Genomic DNA, 19,354 nt, shown 5'->3' on the forward strand with positions numbered 1-19,354 from the left:
CTCGGCAGGGGCGGGTGGGGCATGGGGGGGTTCACAGGTGGAGACAGCCCGTCTCCGCCCCACAGACGGCTGGGCGCAGTCCCGAAATATTCTTCCCAAGTGGACTTTTTTGCTGACAACCTAGAGGAGAGGGTTTCGGGTAGGATAACAGTAGATCCACCTTGTTCCCTTGTGCCACACTGTGTCACACTGGGAACCAGCAATTCTCAATGGTGCCTTGAAGCCAACTGCACGCACTTGTGGTTAGAGGTTACCAATGGCCCCATATTGGTGCCCTCACCTCCTGCCCTCCGCAAGTGAGGATGCTTGGCATCAGCAGAGCTGCCAGGTCTGCACTTGGTGTAGCTGCGAATATGTCATTTCCTGGACAACTGTTTTCCTAAAACAGTGCTAAAAAAAAAAAAAAAAAAACCCTTGGGACACAGAGAAGTGTGGGCACAAACCAATCCTATCTTCCCCCAAAAGGCCAGGGTGAAATTTTCAAAGCTGGCTGTGGAAACGGGGCCTCCCACTGCACATGTCCAGCCAGTGCCAGGCACAAGGCTGCTGCCCTTTCGAGTTGTCCACGTGAAACAGCTCCGCACTGCCTGCAGCTTCACAGAAACTAGTGATTCCAGCCACGCCACCAGGAGTACCGGCTTGAGCACTGGTGATACCAGATAAATAATGAAACTCAGGTGTGCCCTCATTTCACCACCTCCTCCTGCCCCAGCCCCAAGCAATGAGGTCCCCAAAGAGCTAGAGCAGCAACCAGTTGAATGTGCATGCAAAAAATACTCCTGGCCATAAGCAGCCTCTCGCAATCCTCGCACTACATCAGCCCGAATTCCACGTCACCACGGTCTGAGAGCCTCCCCCTCCACCGTGGATGGGGGTGGAACTGAGAGCTATCTAGGTCTCCAGCTCCTCCCAGGGGCCAGCTCCCCAGCCCAGGGGGCTTCCAATGACACCAGGCTGCTTCCACAACTAGGGTCATATCTTCATGCAACAAAACAGTCCCGTGACACGGAGCCACAAGTTATATTTTATTTTAACACGAGATTAACATATAGTTACAAGGTCAATACAAGCCTCCAGTGGAAGCTCTTTATTTGGTTTAATTCCATCTCCAGAGACAAACAGGCAACTCTAGGACCTTTACAGTGGCGATCGGCCTCACACAGCAAAATGCCTCCAAAGTTTAGAATTAGTGCAACACACATACGAACATTTTAAAGGTGCTCAACATCAGGTTAAAATAGAATTCTGGACCTTTTTAAAAAGTTTTTGGATGATATAAGCACAGGAGGCAGAGCCAATAAGAAACATGAAACCAATATTTCTGGAAAAACACTTAGCATGAACGTCACTTTTTGACGTCGTGTAAACTTTCTTCTGCAATGACGGATGTTACCAAAAGGCATCGAGACCTTTGCGCTGCGCTGGTTAGACAAGCCGCAGGCTTATCTCCACGGTGAGCAGGATAAAAACCCCCAAGGAACAGCCCATGACAACCTTCTGTGCCTTTTTATACTTTCCCATCCTACAAAGGAAAAACTGGGTAAAGGACAAGTTCCTCCCTTTCACTGCGTTTCTAAGAACTTTTCAGGGCAGGTTCTTTTAAAATTAGTCATCTTACAACACAACAGTATTCTAGCACGGTGGCGAAGTGACAGGCGGCAGATACGGGGGAGGAAGGAGACGTTCACGGGAAATTCCACATTCTACTCTATGTGAACTGCTCCAGAAAAATACAGACATGATTTCACAGTAGGATTCCCAGAGTAAATGATGATACATAGGACAACTGACCTCCTCTAAGAAGCCCGGCTGGGGCAGCAGTGAGCTTTTCATGGAGCCACGCAGACTGGCCCGGAAGCAACACCCAGGTTCAACATTTAAGAGCACTCGCTATAACATTCTTTTTGGACGCAGGTGGTGGAAAAGTTTAAAAAACAGGCGGAGGAGTGACGGGGGGATACAAGCATATCCTATACTGGGGGTGACGGTCATTCAAAGAGCAAATTACTGCAGCTTATATCTTTTCCACTATGTTGCAAGAAATGAATCTATCCTGACCCATAATATGAAAGATGTGACGCACATGCATTCCCGAGGCTCTAAAATCCCATTTTAAAGAACCGTTTCACATCCTCGTGGAGTGGAGAGTGGTCCACTTGACTTGGTGAGGTCAGAAGTTCCTGAAGATCCCTGTCGTCCCCGTTGGCGGGGGAGCCCATTGTGGAGCTGTGGGGACTGCCACACTCACCATGCACCTGTTGGTTTGCAGGGACAGAGGTGCGGCCCTGACTCTTCTCACCCTGTGTCATCCGGGCTTGTCTTTCGTCTGTCAAGTCAGTCCTCCTGCGTGACTGATGGGTGCACCACGCTTAGGTCACCCGTTGCAGGGACCGGAAGTCCATGGCTCTGCCGCAACCCTGAGCGGTTTGCAGTCCCCCCCGGGGAAGAAGCAGTCAGAGAGGCTCACGCTCACCTACTTTAAAAACCCAAAGCCACTTCCTCTTCACCTGCCTGGGCCTCAGCGTCTCTGCGCTTGTGGTTTCTCGTCCCCGAGGGCTGACTGAGCTGCTCCGGAAGGGTGGTGTGTGGTCAACCTTGGTTGGCTGAGAGGAGCAATTTCCTGGTTTCCACAAGTAAAGACAGCCCCATCCCTTGGGACCTGTCCTTTCCGTCCCTGTCCCTTTGGCTTCTATAGGACTTCCTTGTCTTAGATTCATAAACAGCAAGAGGAACTGAGGATGCTTGAGGGGACCACCTAGTTACCAAAGCCAAGCAAAGAATAAAGCTGCCCGACGTCATCCCCAGGCTTCCGTGGCGCTCTCGGTCACAGGAGCTCTAGGCCAATGGTTCCTCTTGACTGTTTCTGCACCAAATGAGAGGAGGGGCTGCTCTGCTCTAAGGCGTGGCGGGGGGGGGGGGTGGTGGCCACAGATTAGGGGACCTCAGGTTTTCCTCAAAAACCCACACAGGGAAAGAAACTTGGCTCTAAAAGCAAACTCAACGAATTCCACATGCCCTGAAGAGCACGTGATAAAATACAAGGGTGGTGGCGGCGGGATCCCTCAAAGGACCACGAGAGGCACGGGGTCTTTGGTGATGAAAGTGCTAACCTCGGCGGGGTGCGGTAGCTCACACCTGTAATCTCAGCACTTTGGGAGGCTGAGGCGGGCGGATCACCTGAGGTCAGGAGTTTGAGACCAGCCTGACCAACACGGTGAAACCCTGTCTCTACTAAAAATACAAACATTAGCCGGGCGTGGTGGTGCACGCCTGTAATCACAGCTATTTGGGAGGCTGAGGCAGGAGAATCGCTGGAACCCAGGAGGTGGAGGTTGTAGTGAGCCGAGATCATGCCACTGCACTCCAGTCTGAACAATAGAGCGAGACTCCCGTCTCAAAAAAAAAAAAAAAACAACAACAAAAAAGGAAGTGCTACCCTTTTCAGATGCTAATCCTGGGGCTCCTGGAAAGGAGAGGATGTTCGCTTTGCAATGAGCTGGTGCAGAGGGGAGGGCCTCGCTCACAAGCGCATGATCTACAGTTCTCAGGGACAGGAAAGTGATGGGGAGGACAGGCGTGGGCTCCTCATGGCCGGTGGACACAGGCGAGTCAACAAGGCGAGCTGGAATTCGACTTCCAGTGTGGACCTCCCCAGGCCACTGAAAACAGGGCGTCAAACCAAAATGTGTGTATGCGCACGCGTGTGTACTGGTGGGTGTGCCTGTGGGTGTGTGTGTACCTGCCCCCCTGCCTGCCAGATGCTCCCAGGTTGAGGGCATAGTGAAAGGGTCAATGTTTAGTATGAGGTGCAAGCCTAGAATCCAAAAAGGACCACTGAGGACTTCACAGACTCAGGAGAGGAGGAAGTGTTTTCTACAGCAGACAGTCTGGGACACACGGATGACATCGACACGGATGACATCGAGTGCTCAGTCCGCCTGATGTGCGCTGGACCTGCCTTGTCTCCTCAGGGGACCCGTGATGACACTTTCACAAAAGGCACTGTGTGAAGCGCGGAAGGGCTGCCAGGACGAGCCCGGGTGGACTGAGGGCCCAGGAAGGAGCAGGTAGGGGCGTGTGTCCCACCGTCTCAGTGGCCTGCGCGGGGTGGGGAGGGGGAGCGATGAGGACTGACCCGAGCCATGGGGGTGGGCGCTGGCGAGACTTGTCCCCCACGAGGTGGCCCGGGCTGGGCGGGAGGGCAGGGCCGCAGGGAGCATGCTGGAGAGAGAGAGAGACCGCCCCGCAGGGATGGGGCTGCGGAGGGGTGGGCTGTCCACAGGGCAGGGCGCTGGAGGCCTGTGGGAACAAGCAGACGGAGGCTCCTCCAGGAAGGCTCACCCGAGGCTCGCAGGCACTCCCCTCTAGGAATCTACAACACAAAGAGAAACAGAAAGAGAAACTCTCTGTTAGAGAGGAAGGCGCGGGTTCCAGGCGGGCATTTTGCTCTTGGCTACAAACTGCACCGCCCTGGGAGGGGAGGGTAGTGGGAGGGGAGGGATGGGAGGGGGCGTCTTAGAGCAATCGGTTACCACAGGGCGGGTCTGAGATGAGGAACTTTCACGGTTTTCTCTCTAGCCTTTAGCTGGTCTTTCCTTCAGAGTTAAGAGAAGCCCAAACAGGAGACTGATGAGGCCATCCGCCCCAACTCGTCTTTCTCATAAGTTTAGTTTTGAGAGAAAGTAAGAAACGGAGGCCGGGGCTGGGCGCCGTGGCTCATGCCTGTAATCCCAGCACTTTGGGAGCCTGAGGCAGGCAGATCACGAGGTCAGGAGTTCAAGACCAGCCTGGCTAACATGGTGAAAACCCATCTCTATTAAAAATACAACAATTAGCCTGGCGTGGTGGCAGGTGCCTGTAATCCCAGCTACTTGGGAGGCTGAGGCAGAAGAATCGCTTCAACCCAGGAGGCGGAGGTTGCAGTGAGCTGAGATCGGGCCACTGCACTCCAGCCTGGACAACAGAGCAAGACTCCGTCTTAAAAAAAAAAAAAAGGAAACGGAGGTTGGGTGCAGTGGCTCATACCTGTAATCCCAGCACTTTGAGAGGCTGAAGAGGGAGGATGCATGAGCTCAGGAGTTCAAGACCAGCCTGGGCCACAACATAGCCAGACCTCATCTCTACAAAAAATTAAAAAAAAATTAACCAGCATGTTGGCATGCGCCTGTAGTCCCGGCTATTCGGGAAGATGAGTTGGAAGGATGGCTTGAGCCCAGGGAGGTCGAGGCTGCAGCGAGCCAGGATCACACCACTGCACTTCAGCTTGGGCAACAGAGTGAGAATTCAACTCCAGAAAAAAAAGAAAAGAAAAGAAATGCATCAATTTCCTAGAATGGTACAAGGAACATGAAGGTCCAATTCTCTCAGAAGGAAACTCTTGGCTCTTCAGCAGTACAATGTAAAATCTTTGGTGAAAAGGAAAACCTGTTGTTCTGTATTCATTCCGCAATAAACCGTGAAAAGCTCTTCATCTCAAGGAGAGAGAAAAGAAACAAAAGAAACACAGACTTCTCAGGCCCTGAGTGCACGCAAGATCAGAAACAGGGGAGGTGCCATCATTTAAAGGAGGAGGTAGGGGTGGGAGGCAGAATTTTTAAAAAAGCATTGGGCTAGAAAATCCCCTATTACTGGAGATGAAAGAGTTAAATATTCATATTACACAGAATAATTTTCTTGGAAACATGAAAAGTCACTTAAAATACACAATACTGAGAAAAAATATAACATTTATTAGAGAAGCAGATACGAGGGTACAACTAAAAGATGCCAGACAGAGTCTTTTAGGATAAGAATAGAAAGAGACAATCATGTTGCTGTATTCAAACAAAACTTACTCAGAACCCCAGAGTTTATAATAAACTCAAGTGCGGAGCCGCAGCGGGGACCTAGCTCCCCATGCGAGAGGCTTCGCGGCTTTCCGGCAGTTATAAAAACAGAAAGGTCATTAGGCAGCAGGAGAACCCATAAAACAAACAGATAAAAGTACAACATTAAAACAACTCATTCGAGTACTGCTTTTAGTTTTTAAGTTGCAGTATATACACACGTATTCTGTGGGGGGAATTATGAAAATATTTAACAGAGAGCAATCGAAGAACCAAAAAACCACAAAAGAAAGTCACAATCCAATTGACCCACCGGAAGTTACTCTAGTCTAAATATTTTGGCAATTATTAAATAAGCACATCGTAGACACACACACACACACACACACACACACACACACACACACACACACACACAAAAAGGTTGACCGGCATTATAAAAATAAAACAGCTGCACTGAGTTATGGGCCTAAGAAAACAGTGGCTTTGCCCACATCAGATGGGTTGAAGGAGGGCAGTGTTTGTGGGCAAGTTGGACAGAGTTATAAACAGAGTAGGCAGGAAAAGCTTCTCTGTACATATTATTAATCTCTAAGTGTAACTTTCAAATAAAAGGAGAAAATTATATAAGTAGCTGAGATTTTGCTGCTTTTATATTAACAGACAACTGCTAGAAGATAATAAAGTATACTTTGGGTGGAAATGGAAATTCCTGATTCTTTGGAATTTGGTTTTCTAATATTTCATGCATTGATGCGATGGACCTGAAATTTACAAAATATCTTTTAACTGTTTAGTCAATATTACAGAGATTCACCTGTTATAGTACTGAGGCATACAACTTAATGATCGTACATTTAAAATTATCATCATAAATTTATGTGCCCAAACCCCTCCCACCCCATTCCCCCTGAAACCAACTGAGCTATTTTCTGAATTAAATTTGAATAACGAAATAAATTTGAATAATCAAGAAAAAAATACACAGCTTGACAGAATGCCTTTTTTCAAAGCAGACTTTCACAAGGTTAATGTCGTCTTGCCCTATTTTCGAGTTTTTCAGTGGTTAGTTTGCTTTGTCCAGGAGTTCACAGACTGGAAATGAGTTTGTCATCGGATAGAAAGGTCAGATTTTAATACCTTAGGTTTCCCATTCACTTGTTTACTGGGTAAAGCTGGAAACTTCCTACTGCTCATTTAAACAGATCCTTGTGGTTGAAGGGTCAGCTGATTTTCTTGCTGCAATATCTACAAAGAGGCCTGGGGTCGGGATGGGTGGCTTTATTGATACTATGCCAGCAAAAGTATCCAAAAGAAATTTGGGCCTGGCACGGTGGCTCACCCTGTAATCCCAGCACTTTGGGAGGCTGAGGCGGGCGGATCACTTGAGCCCAAGAGTTTGAGACAAGCCTGGCCAACATGGTGAAAACCTGTCTTTACTAAAAAAAAAAAAAAATACAAAGATTAGCCGGGTGTGGTGGCAGGCACCTGTAATCCCAGCTACTGGGGAGGCTGAGGCACAAGAATTACTTGAACTCGGGAGGCAGAGGTTGTAGTGAGCCAGGATTGTATCATTGCCCTTGAGTCTAGGTGACAGAGTGAGACTCTGTCTCAAAAAAAAAAAAAAAAAAAAAAAAAGCCAGGCACGGGCTCATGCCTGTAATCCCAACACTTTGGGAGGCTGAGGTGGACAGATCATGAGGTCAGGAGATCAAGACCATTCTGGCTAACACGGTGAAACCCTGTCTCTACTAAAAATACAAAAAATTAGCTGGGCATGGTGGCACACGCCTGTAGTCCCAGCTACTTGGGAGGCTGAAGCAGGAGAATCGCTTGAACTCAGGAGGCAGAGGTTGCAGTGAGCCAAGATTGTGCCACCGCACTCCATCCTGGCGACAGAGCGAGACTCCATCTCAAAAAAAAAAAAAAAAAAAGTTTTTTAAAAAATCAGGCTGTCACTAAATAAAGGTTAACTGGCTGTGAGAATCTTGAAACACGGCCCCTAGCATCCAGAACCCCTACTAGGTTCTAGAGCCCGAATGTGCAGCTACTGCTTGGAAAATCAGCTTTAAATGGACTTGAGCTGATCAAATGAACCCACAATGTAGAGGCAGGCAGGGGCTAATTTCCTACTTGAAAGTAGGAAGGACACAAGGAAATAATTTTCAAAATCAAATAAAAAGAGAATCTGACCCAACACCTTCATTCTGACCCATTTGTAGTGGGTTGTCTATGATCTCGGGGTGGATTCTGGAAATGGGCACAGTGAAATGCCTGGCAACCATCTACGCATGTGACCAACTTCACTATCTCCCCTCCCACATCAATGCCAATTTAAAAATGCAAATTCTCATGTGGCCTAGATTCCTTTCGATGTGGTGAGACATTTTACTTCATTCTGGCTACAGTTAATTGTATAAAATGAGCCAGAAATTCTAAAATAATTTCCAGTAAATCCAAACCTTGCCAATGATTAAAAGCAGAAACAAAACAAAACAAAAACAACAACAACAAAAAAACAAAAGCAAACCCCCAAAGTCTTTGAACAGCAATGTGCTGAGATCTGTGTCTGTGGGGAGAAGCATTTGCTGCCACACCACGTTCTCTTTATAGCCCCACCTGGGCAAGCGTGAGTGCAGCTCTACTTGGAAAACCAACAGAAACCGAACCAAGTGTGAGAGGAAATCACAGCCAAAAGGAGCTGATGCAGGGACACGCTCTGCCTTTTAAGTAACTCCATCTAAACAGCACTAGCACATCTGATCAACTGTCAATTTGGGCCAGGTGCGGTGGCTCACGCCTATAATCCCAGCACTTTGGGAGGCAGAAGCAGGCAGATCACTTGAGGTCAGGAGTTTGAGACCAGCCTGGCCAACAGAGCGAACCCGTCTCTACTAAAAATACAAAAATTAGCCAGGCGTGGTGGTGCACACCTGTAATCCCAGCTACTCGGGAGGCTGAGGCAGGAGAATCGCTTGAACCTGGGGGAGGCGGAGGTTGCAGTGAGCCACTGTACTCCAGCCTGGGCAACAGAGCCAGACTCTGTCTCAAAACAACAACAACAACAAAAACACAAACACAACAACAAAAACCTGTCAATTTGATGACACTTGGAAAATCAGCAATGCAATGTAAAAATCAAGTGGTCAATTCACCAAACTTTTCCAGATTTCAGCTGGTTGTCTGGGATCATGTAGATGGAACAGGGTACTCGTGATGCCCTACCAAGGATGCTGACCAGGTTTAAGTAAAAACACACACTTTTGGTGCCAATATAAGAATCTTATTTACTGCTTTAGTCAAGAAGGAGATGTTATTTCACTTGTGACTTCCTCCCAAGTGAATGAGTATACAATTTAACAAACTAACACAGTTCAGTTTATTAAGTTACAATCTGTAACCACCTAATGTAGCTCAGTGTATGGTGGATACTAGATATAAACAAGAGTAGGGAAGTCTTTGGCACCTGCATGATGCGTGCCGGCTTTTAAATTCAGAAAGATGAGAAGCTACAATGCAACTTTTTTTTTAATCTACAGATACCGCCAAAAGAAGAAATGTTTATCAGATTTTGAATGACATAGCTGTAAGTTGGCGGTTGGCAGCTTTCCACATAAAATTTCATCAGCAAGTGAAACTTGATTACAGCCCAAACTAGACAAGGCAATTCAGGTGCCCAGACCCTGAAGTCCACGTGAGACTACAGGAGAACGTGCATTATGGTGCTTGCCAGCCAGTCTCTTGAGGAACTGCCTGTAACAGTCATGGTTGTGGGGAGAAACAACTCCATTTTTTTTAAGTTTTTTTTTTTTATGGTATTAAATATAAGTCTTAGCACCTTTGGCATTTTTGTCCAAACAGACTTCGACATATGAAGTGGGGACATAACCCTCTTCATCTTCATTTCTCCGAATGCGGGTCCAGCCATCGCCTTTGTCTTCCTCTATGACATACAATGTTTCTCCTTCAACTACGGAAATCGTTCCTTCATTCTGACCTGAAAAAGCAATATCAGGATATGTTAGATGTCTTGGCAAATGCAGGGAGGAAGCAAACAGTGGCCTTCGCAATGAAACAAGTGTCGTCGAAGATGAAGTCCACACAAAATTCACCCCACTCGGACCTTCTCAGATGCACGGACCCCTCACCCACTGCCTCAAAACCATCTCCTTCTGCACAGAAATGTCCAGGTTCTTACCTCTGTCTCTCTAGGGACCCTCTCTAAGTCCTCCAGGGCCCTCTTTCTCCTCCCTCCCAGAATGGTAAGTATTTCTCACTGGATAAATCTTTGGTTCTCTTCTCTAGTCTTCTTCTGTCTCACTTGGATCTCTCTCAGGAGAAAGGTACCCTCGTGGCTCCAACTGCTTCTCTTTTGTCTGTTATTTTTTGGGGGGGTTGTGGGGGATGGAGTCTTGCTCTTGTTGCCCAGGCCAGAGTGCTGTGGTGCAATCTCAACTCACTGCAACCTCCACCTCCCCGGTTCAAGCGATTCTCCTGTCTCAGCCTCCCGAGCAGCTGAGACTATAGGTGTGCACCACCACACCCGGCTAACCTTTCTATTTTTAGTAGAGATGGGGTTTCACCATGTTGGTCAGGCTGGTCTGACTCCTGACCTTAGGTGATCCACCAGCCTCAGCCTCCCAATTTTTTTGTTGTTGTTGTTTGTTTGTTTTGAGACAGAGTCTTGCTCTGTTGCCCAGGCTGGAGTGTGATGCCACTTGTCCCGGGTTCAAGTGATTCTCCTGCCTCGGCCTCCCGAGTAGCTGAGATTACAGGCATGTGCCACCACGCCCGGCTAATTTTGTATTTTTAGTAGAGACGAGGTTTCACCATGTTGGTCAGGCTGGTCTTGAACTCCTGACCTCAGGTGATCCACCCGCCTCGGCCTCCCAAAGCGCTGGGATTACAGGCGTGAGCCACCACGCCCGGCCCAACTGCTCCTCTTTAAACACTGTCCTCACATATTGCTTCCATTCTGGTACTTTCTGCAGCCAAGATTCCACTTTTCCCACTGTCTGCAGCACACTGCCACCTAGACATGGCCCCAACACCTGAAACAACATAGATGAACCTGGATTCACTGTTCTTCCTCCTAACTATATCCTCCTGCTTTTCCACTTCCCTAGACCTCTCTGTCCTCCCAGGAATGCAACTCTGGGAGCCGTCTTGGATTTCCTCTCCTTTTTGTTCCTGGCTTTTGATCAGCCCCGAATATATGCAGTTTGTCAATGGCGGCATCTCTGTATCCATTCCTTGAACAAGGCCCCCAAGACCTTCTGCTAGGATCATTTCAAAGGCTGCCCACCACCCCCCAGTTTTCTGCAAGGCAAAGAGTTTAGGGAGCTGTTAACAGGGCAACAGGGTACGGTGGGGGATGGTTGGAATATGAAGTAAAACTGGGAACGTTTAAACTGGTACGTCTTTCTTATTTTGTCACAATGAACATTTAGTCTATTAAAGGCTCTGAAAAGTCCTGTAGTAAAGAAATCTGTAAAATTTATTTATCCCAGGGCTTCCCAAACTTACTTGAGCTCTGATTGCTAGTTTTAAAAATTTATTCATTATATTAAAATGCAACTTTTTCGTAATTTTATTTATTTATTTATTTATTTTTTAGAGAGGGTTTCACACTATCGCCTAGGCTGGAGTGCAGTGGTACGATCATAGCTCACTGTAGCCCTGAACTCTTGGCCTCAGCCTCCCAAAGTGCTGGGATTACAGGTGTGAGCCACTGAGCCTGGCCTGAGAGCTTCTTTCATGGCCTCCTTATTAACGCTCTGCAGGACATCGTTTCAAGGTTCATTGGTTTAGAAACACTAAGCTAGTTTATCTTTTCTTTCTTTTTTTTGAGACAGAGTTGCCCTCTGTTGCCCATACTGGAGTACAATGGCACGATCTTGGCTCACTGCAACCTCTGCCTCCTGGGTTCAAGCAATTCTCATGCTTCAGCCTCCCGAGTAGCTGGGATTACAGGCGCCCGCCACCACGCCTCACTGATTTTTGTATTTTTAGTAGAGACGGGGTTTCATCATGTTGGGCAGGCTGGTCTAGAACTCCTGACCTCAGGTGATCTGCCTGCCTCAGCCTCCCAAAGTTCTAGGATTACAGGCGTGAGCCACCATGCCCGGCCTGGGCTAGTCTTTCTAACCATCCTCCATGTCTTCCAGTGGATCCTACACATCTGACGATGACTTTCCTAAGGTACAGCTCTGACTGCATCGACACCCTGCTAGGGGACCTCCCATAGCTCCTCAATGTTTGCCACATAAAACCCAGATGTTTCCCTACCTCGCCCCCATTGGCACTTCCCACTCTTTAGTGCCACATTTCACTATTAGGACTTAAGACATCTAAGCTCCAGCCACACCACACCCATTTCTGGCCACACCCCCCATGCCATGGCAAGTTCTCCAAACTTCCTTAAGGAAGCGACCTCATTCTCCCCTGTCCTCCCCGTTCCTCTGTATCCCTCTTCTGGCAAACACTGCAAACTGCCTGCTTTTTTTTTTTGAGAGGGAGTCTTGCTCTGTTGCCAGGCTGGAGTAAAGTGGCACGACCTCGGCTCACTGCCACCTCCGACTCCTGGTTTAAGTGAGTCTCCTGCTTCAGCCTCCCAAGTAGCTGGAATTACAGGCATGCGCTACCACGCTTAGCTGATTTTTGTATTTTTAGTAGAGATGGGGTTTCACCATGTTGGCCAGGATGGTCTCGATCTCCTGACCTCACGATCCGCCTGCCTCGGCCTCCCAAAGTGCTGGGATTACAGGCGTGAGCCACTGCACCCAGCCGCTGCTTGCTCCTTAAGTGTGTCTGCCTGATTTCCCTCTGGGCAGGTGCCATATCATACGACCTGCATCCCCCCACTTCATGGGCCTTTACAAGACAGGAGCGCTATAGATACTAGATATTAAATGAATGGATGAAATGATCATCCTCCCTATCGTCTGCTGCAGTGAAGCAAGCTCTCTGGAAGCTGTTAAGTTATACGAACCAAAAGTCAAAATATACAACCAAATAATAATCATACCATGAGTAGGATAAAAGCATAGTAGAGAAGGATCTGGAAGGCTGCTGCTGCAGCTTTTTTTTTTTTTTTGAGACAGAGTCTCGTTCTGTCACCCAGGCTGGAGTACAGTGGCGCTATCTCAGCTCACTGCAACCTCCGCCTCCCGGGTTCAAGTGATTCTCGTGCCTCAGCCTCCCGAGCAGCTGGGATTACAGGCGCCTGCCAGCATGCCCAGCCAGTTTTTGTATTTTTAGTAGAGATGGGATTTCACCATGTTGGCGAGGCTGGTCTTGAACTCCTGGCCTCAAGTGACCTGCCCGCCTCAGCCTCCCAAAGTTCTAGGATTACAGGTGTGAGCCACCATGCCCGGCCAGATCTGGAAGGCTTCTAAAGAAAGTTCTGGTCACAGAAAGAGAAGAGTGTGGCTAGGCACAGTGGCTCACACCTGTGATCACAGCACTTTGGGAGGCTGAGGCAGGAGTACTGCTTGAATCCAGGAGTTCAACACCAGCCTGGGCAACATAGTGAGACCCTGTCTCTACTGAAAAGTACAAAAAGTACAAAAGTACAAAAATGAGCCGGACATGGTGGTGCTTGCCTGTAGTCCCAGCTACTCAGGAGGCTGAGGTTGGAGGATCACTTGAGCCCAGGAGGTCAAGGCTGCAGTGAGCCATGATTGCACCACTGCACTCTAACTTGGGCAAGAGAGCGAGACCCTGTATGAAAAAAAGGAAGGAAGGAAGGAAGGGAAGGAAGGGAAGGAAGGGAAGGGAGGGAAGGGAAGGGAAGGAAGGAAGGGGAAGGGGAAGGGGAAGGGGAAGGGAAGGTAGGAAGGAAGGAAGGAAGGACAAAGGAATAAAAATGATCAGAAGGAAGGAAGGAAGGAAAAGTGAAAGAAGAGTAACTCAGATATTATGGTTTATAAAAGGCAGGGGAATCCAGCAGACATGAAATGTCACCTTCAAATGTGTAGAGAGCTTTGCACGTCCCTATGGCAGGGAGGGGCTCCTCATCATCAAACTCGTCGTCAAAATCCGTGGCCAGCACCTTCATCTCACTCTCCTGACTCTGCTCCTCTGTGTAACTGCCATCTGGGCTGCTCAAGAAAGGAAAACACAAAGCAACTAAAGCGACTGACCCCAGGGAGGACTCAGATTGAGTCCCTGCGACTGGAGAGCACTTGCAACCCCGCCCCTCAGCGAGTGCTGTAACTGAGGCCATGGTAAATCATCGCACGCTCAGATCACCCATCCCATGTGGAATTATAAATCTGCATCATGGAAAAAGTGACAGGTCAATCGCAACAGACATTTTGGCATTGAACAAGTGCCTTATGGTCATTCCAGATTCCAAAATTTAGAAATAAATACAAAGCCAACAGGCTCCCTTGCCAGAGGCAGGCGCTGTGCAGATACTGTACCTCTCACGGTCCTGGGCGCAGTTGTTGACTGTGGGTGGGTTCTGGCTGTCGTACAGTCCGCTCTGCCGGCGCGCCTGCTCGCTGCGTGCTGGGAGCCGGCCTTCAACCTCAGCCAGCCAGGCCTGGAGACAAAAGCAATGAGAGACTCCAACCTAAGGCCATCTGAGGGTCAGCCCAGAGTGTCCTAAGGTCCCAAAGGCCATCTGAGGGCCAGCCCGGAGCATCCTAAGGTCCCAAACTCAGGGGCTACTCTTGGCCATTTAACCCAATGTGAGGAAGTCCACGTGGGGGCAGAATGGCCACGTTTTCTGCCTTCGACTGTTCAAATGTACTGAAGGACGGTTGCTTCCATTTCACCCGAAGTTGGAGACATAGAAACAAACTCATATTTATGTGGTTGCCCACGATGGGGCAGAAAGCACACTGGACTATGCTATCCCCTTGGGCTTTTAAGCAGCAGTGCAGTCTTGGATAAGTCACTTCTAGTTCCTTCTTGACCATGAGGTCGCCCTGTGATACCTGAAGGTACAGCCATGCTTAAAGCAGTGACTCAGTTTGAAAGCCACACTTCCTATTTTTTAGGAGTGTAACTTTTTTTTTTGATAGAAATGAAACTTGTACTTAAAAATTAAAGTAGATAAAATGACCTTCAGCATTTGAAACAGTATAAACAAGTCAAAGGAATAAAAATGACGAGAAGGCCGGGCGCGGTGGCCACACCTGTAATCCCAGCACTTTGGGAGGCCGAGGTGGGTGAATCACTTCAGGTTGGGAGTTTCAGACCAGCCTGGCCAACATGGTGAAACGCTGTCTCTACTAAGAGTACAAAAATTAGCTGGGGGTGGTGGTGAGCGCCTGTAATCCCAGCACTTTGGGAGAGGTGGGCAGATCACCTGAGGTCAGGAGTTCGAGACCAGCCTGGCCAACATGGTGAAACTCCATCTCCATTAAAAATACAAAAATTAGCTGGGCATGGTGGCACATGCCTGTAGTCCCAGCTACTCGGGAGGCTGAGGCACGAGAATCACTGGAACTCAGGAGGTGGAGGTTACAGTGAGTCGAGACTGCACCACTGCACTCCAGCTTGGGTGACAGAGCGAGACTCTGTCTCAAAAAAAAGAATAATAATAAGAAAAGGACCGTTCTAAGTTCTAAATGCTCAAATGAACATTAATGATGGATTCTGAAAAGAATGGAAAAAGCTGGCCAGGTGTGGTGGCTCACGCCTGTAATCCCAGCACTTTGGGAAGCCAAGGTGGGTGGAGCATCTGAGGTCAGGAGTTCGAGACCAGCCTGGCCAACATGGCAAAACCCTGTCTCTACCAAAAATACAAAAAGTAGCCGGGTGTGGTGGTACACACCTGTAGTCCCAGCTACTCAGGAGGCTGAGGCAGGAGAATCACTTGAACCTGGGAAGTGGAGGTCACACTGAGGTGAGATCACGCTACTACACTCCAGCCTGGGCAACAGGGCGAGACTTCATCTCAAAAAAAAGAATGAAAAAAGCCATAGTTGACCCTTCATTGCTGGAAACAATCTATTCTGACTGGTAGAATCGGTTGCTAATGTATTTTTCCATGCTCTGTAGTCTTTAAACGTGGTAGGGAGAGTGGGTTCAGGAGGCTTTTGTTGACAGCTTTTGAGTGCTCCTCTCCCTCCCTCAAGCTTTGATTATTTATGTTTCCTGCTTGTTTCTCCTTTGTGTTTGCTGCTGGTTCTCACACACACCCTTTCCATAATGGGCCTGCTGAGAGAACAATTGTATATTTCAGGGGATTTTTTTCATTGCTTCTTTGATTCACTGGGATAACGGATCGCTCTATACTCCCAATTTTATTACCATGAGATGAAGCAGAATAACTTAAAGTACAAAAAATACTGGCCAGGCACAGTGGCTCACAGTGGCTCACAGCTGTAATCCCAGCACTCTGGGAGGCCAAGGTGGGAGGATGGCTTAAGGCCAGGAGTTCAAGACCAGTCTGTGCAACAGAGCAAGACCTCAACTCTAAAACAAATAAAAAATTGAAAAATAAAAGTTAGCCAGGTATGGTGGCATGTGCCTGTAATCCCAGCTCCTCAAAGGCTGAGCCAAGGAGATCAAGGCTGCAGTGAGCTACAAGCATGCCACTGTACTCCAGCCTGGGCAACAAAGCAAAATCCTGTCTCTAAAATTAAAAAACAACCCCGCCAACCCCGCACCGTATACAGATACAACATTAAACATTGTCAGGTTTTACAGCCACGATTAAGATAGGCTATGATGAGTAGGAGAATGTTCAACGGCGAAGAGTGTATTTTTCCTTTGACCATAACTCCTGAAACAGCCTGCCATTCCCACTGTGTACCTCCCAGTGAGAGGATCGTCAGGGCCCCACACCATTCTACACCGAGGAACACCTGTTCTTCGTTTCCAACAAAGCTTTCCACAACAGAAGTTTCATACCTCAAATTTCTGGGTCTCTACTCGCAGTTTCTCTATATTTTGGCTGACTTCTGCTAATTTGTGATCCAAACTGGCTGGGTCTCCCATCTGAGGATTCTTTAGGTAGACATCTTTCATTTTTGTTATGGCATCTCTGAAAGAAAGAACGAGTAGAATGCTGTAAAGGTTACTCCATTTTTTTTTTAGACAGTTTCACTCTTGTCACCCAGGCTGGAGTGCAATGGTGCGATCTCGGCTCACTGCAACGATCTTGGCTCACTGCAACCTTCACCTCCAGGGTTCAAGCAATTCTGCTGCCTCAGCCTCCAGAATAGCTGGGATTACAGGTGCATGCCACCACACCCACCTAATTTTTGTATTTTTAGTAGAGATGGGGTTTTGCCACGTTGGCCAGGCTGGTCTTGAACTCCTGACCTTAGGTGATCTGCCTGCCTCAGCCTCCTAAAGTGCTGGGATTATAGGCGTGAGCTACCGCACCACCCGGCAAAGGTTACTCTTATCAGCCAATATTCTACCACTTTGAAAGCCATATGAATGGAAACGTGGGAAGATTAGAGTATGGATAAGGGACTATTGGGCCAGCTTCCATTCTGGAAATTCTCTATAGGAATTCTGCTACCAATGGCTATAAATAAAGAAGCTGATTTTTCAATTTCAGTTCTCTTCTCTAATGGTTATCTCCTTATTGTCCCCAATAACTGAGAAGCATAAATTAATCCTGCCCTTCCCTTTGCCACACAGATAAAATAAATAAATAAATAAAAGCCAATACTTTAAAAATTTTTAATTAATTAATTTATTTTTGAGACCAGGTTATGAGACTGGCTAATTTTTGTATTTTTGGTAGAGACTGCGTTTTGCCATGTTGCCCAGGCTGGTCTTGAACTCCTGGCCTCAAGCAATCCACCTGCCTCGGCCTCCCAAAGTGCTGGGATTACAGGCATGAGCCACCGAATCTGGCTTCAAAACCCAAGTATTTCCAACATGGTGAAACCCCGTCTCTACTAAAATTACAAAAATTAGCCAGGCGTGATGGCATGTCCCCTTAATCCCAGCTACTTGGGAGGCTTAGGCAGGAGAATCACTTGAACCCAGGAGGTGGAGGTTGCAGTGAGCCGAGATCACGCCACTGCACTCCAGCCTGGGCGACAGAGCAAGACTCCATCTCAAACAAAACAAAACAAACAAACAAAAACCCCCAAATATTTCCACGTGTGCATTCTTCATGCAAACCAAAGCTACAGCTGGCATCCTGGGTCTCACGGGCTGCATGTGCTCACCTGACGAAGAAGCACAGTCAATTGCTTTGGAAATGTTAACACACACCCATTTCCACTGTTAAGAAACTGAATCCATAGTTGGTATCCACGACAGGTAAGTGACAGAGCCTTAAAGCTACACACTGTGGATCCCACATCCTTCCTGAAATCATGTCTGGAAGCAGCCCATGGTAGCCCGGGCAGGCATCCCTAGAGAAGTTTGGGGCATGTTTGGGTTGAAGACCAAAGAGCTCTACTAATTTTACCCTTGTTGCAGGGCACTTTTGGTAGGCTTCGAGTCATTAAAAATTTAGAGCAAATGACTGCCAGGGTTAAGGGCCAACTTTGATGAGTGTCAGCAAAAGAAAATCCAAAGCAGGCCATACAATACAATAGAAGGCCAAAAGACAAACCAAAAGATACATTCTGAGTCATGAGAAATAGTTTAACTAAAAATATAGAAATAACAGGAAGAGAGCTTCTACAAGTCCTCACCACCCTCCACCTAAGAGGCTGAGACCCACTTGGACTTCCAGCCGCTTTATCTTGTTTCTTTCCTCTCTTCCTTCCTTCCTATCTTCCTTATTTCCTTCCTGCCTTCTTTCCCACAGCATGCATCATTCATTATTATTATGCTTATTGTTCACTGTCTGTCTCCTCCTGTTACAATGGAAGCTCTTGGAGGAAGCTCTATGAGCTCAAGTTACATTGTTAACTTGATGGATCCCAAGTGTCGAAGCCATCCTTGGCACATAGTAGATGCTCAATGAATATTTGTTAAATAAATACATATTTAAATAAACATTTAAAAATCATGTTTATAAATAATTTTTAAACATTTTTAAATAATGTTAAATGTTCTTAAAAATGTTTAAATAAACATTTATTTATTTAACAAATAACAAACATGACAAGCCAAGTGTAATGTTGTCCACCCTTATGATGTCCTTTCCGAAACCCGTCTCGTCTCTTGACTTCATGGCCCACACCTCCCACTACCTCCCTATTTCTCAGCAAAAGCCCTCAACAGAGTTGTCTATATCCATTATCTTTAGCTTCTCTCCTCCCAGTCTTTCCTAATCAATCTTTCCACATGTTTATCAACTTTATTGATCTTTTTAAGGAAGAACTTTTGGATCTGTTGAATTGTGTGTGTGTGTGTGTGTGTATATATATATATATATATTTTGTTAATTATTTTTGAGATAGGGTCTTACTCTGTCGCCTAGGCTGGAATGCAGTGGTATGATCTTGGCTCACTGCACCCTCTGCCTCCCGGGTTCAAGCGACTCTCCTGCCTCAGCCTCCTGAGTAGCTGGGACTACAGGCGCCCCATCATGCCCAGCTAATTTTTGTATTTTTAGTAGAGACAGGGTTTTGCCATGTTGGCCAAGCTGGTCT

General features: G+C 47.4%; 1 protein-coding gene across 39 annotated transcripts in view, besides 6 other annotated features; it reads right to left on the reverse strand.

Moving 5' to 3' along the window:
- The window catches only part of FNBP1 (formin binding protein 1), a 166,693-nt gene continuing 148,351 nt past the window's right edge, over positions 1,013–19,354 (reverse strand). For 13 of the 39 annotated variants that reach the window (NM_001439056.1, XM_017014492.3, NM_001411018.1 and 10 more), the window contains 4 exons: positions 16,695–16,827; positions 14,252–14,373; positions 13,791–13,930; positions 9,087–9,822 (listed from right to left, as the gene is read on the reverse strand). In NM_001439056.1, coding sequence (NP_001425985.1) covers positions 9,644–9,822; positions 13,791–13,930; positions 14,252–14,373; positions 16,695–16,827 — 574 coding nt within the window. In that variant the 3' untranslated portion in view covers positions 9,087–9,643. Of the gene's footprint in view, positions 4,373–9,086; positions 9,823–13,790; positions 13,931–14,251; positions 14,374–16,694; positions 16,828–19,354 lie in introns of those variants that run through there. The other 26 variants (NM_001439055.1, NM_001439054.1, NM_001439050.1 and 23 more) reach the window with 3 other exon arrangements.
- Positions 2,022–2,421: an enhancer, noted in NCBI's record as "active region_29126". NCBI's record gives its function as "activates an Ori minimal core promoter by ATAC-STARR-seq in GM12878 lymphoblastoid cells {active_cell/tissue: GM12878}" and the evidence as "EXISTENCE:reporter gene assay evidence [ECO:0000049][PMID:35858748]".
- Positions 2,752–2,841: an enhancer, noted in NCBI's record as "active region_29127". NCBI's record gives its function as "activates an Ori minimal core promoter by ATAC-STARR-seq in GM12878 lymphoblastoid cells {active_cell/tissue: GM12878}" and the evidence as "EXISTENCE:reporter gene assay evidence [ECO:0000049][PMID:35858748]".
- Positions 2,752–3,683: a biological region, named in NCBI's record as "H3K27ac-H3K4me1 hESC enhancer GRCh37_chr9:132651249-132652136".
- Positions 2,796–3,683: an enhancer, noted in NCBI's record as "H3K27ac-H3K4me1 hESC enhancer chr9:132651249-132652136 (GRCh37/hg19 assembly coordinates)". NCBI's record gives its function as "activates a minimal SCP1, AML or CMV promoter by ChIP-STARR-seq in naive H9 embryonic stem cells {active_cell/tissue: H9 hESC(naive)}" and the evidence as "EXISTENCE:reporter gene assay evidence [ECO:0000049][PMID:30033119]".
- Positions 6,916–7,210: a silencer, noted in NCBI's record as "tiled region #3297; K562 Repressive non-DNase unmatched - State 8:EnhW". NCBI's record gives its function as "represses a minimal TATA promoter and a strong SV40 promoter by Sharpr-MPRA in K562 cells {active_cell/tissue: K562}" and the evidence as "EXISTENCE:reporter gene assay evidence [ECO:0000049][PMID:27701403]".
- Positions 14,489–14,608: an enhancer, noted in NCBI's record as "active region_29128". NCBI's record gives its function as "activates an Ori minimal core promoter by ATAC-STARR-seq in GM12878 lymphoblastoid cells {active_cell/tissue: GM12878}" and the evidence as "EXISTENCE:reporter gene assay evidence [ECO:0000049][PMID:35858748]".

Source organism: Homo sapiens, chromosome 9, assembly GCF_000001405.40.
Source record: "Homo sapiens chromosome 9, GRCh38.p14 Primary Assembly".
Lineage (NCBI taxonomy): Eukaryota > Metazoa > Chordata > Mammalia > Primates > Hominidae > Homo > Homo sapiens.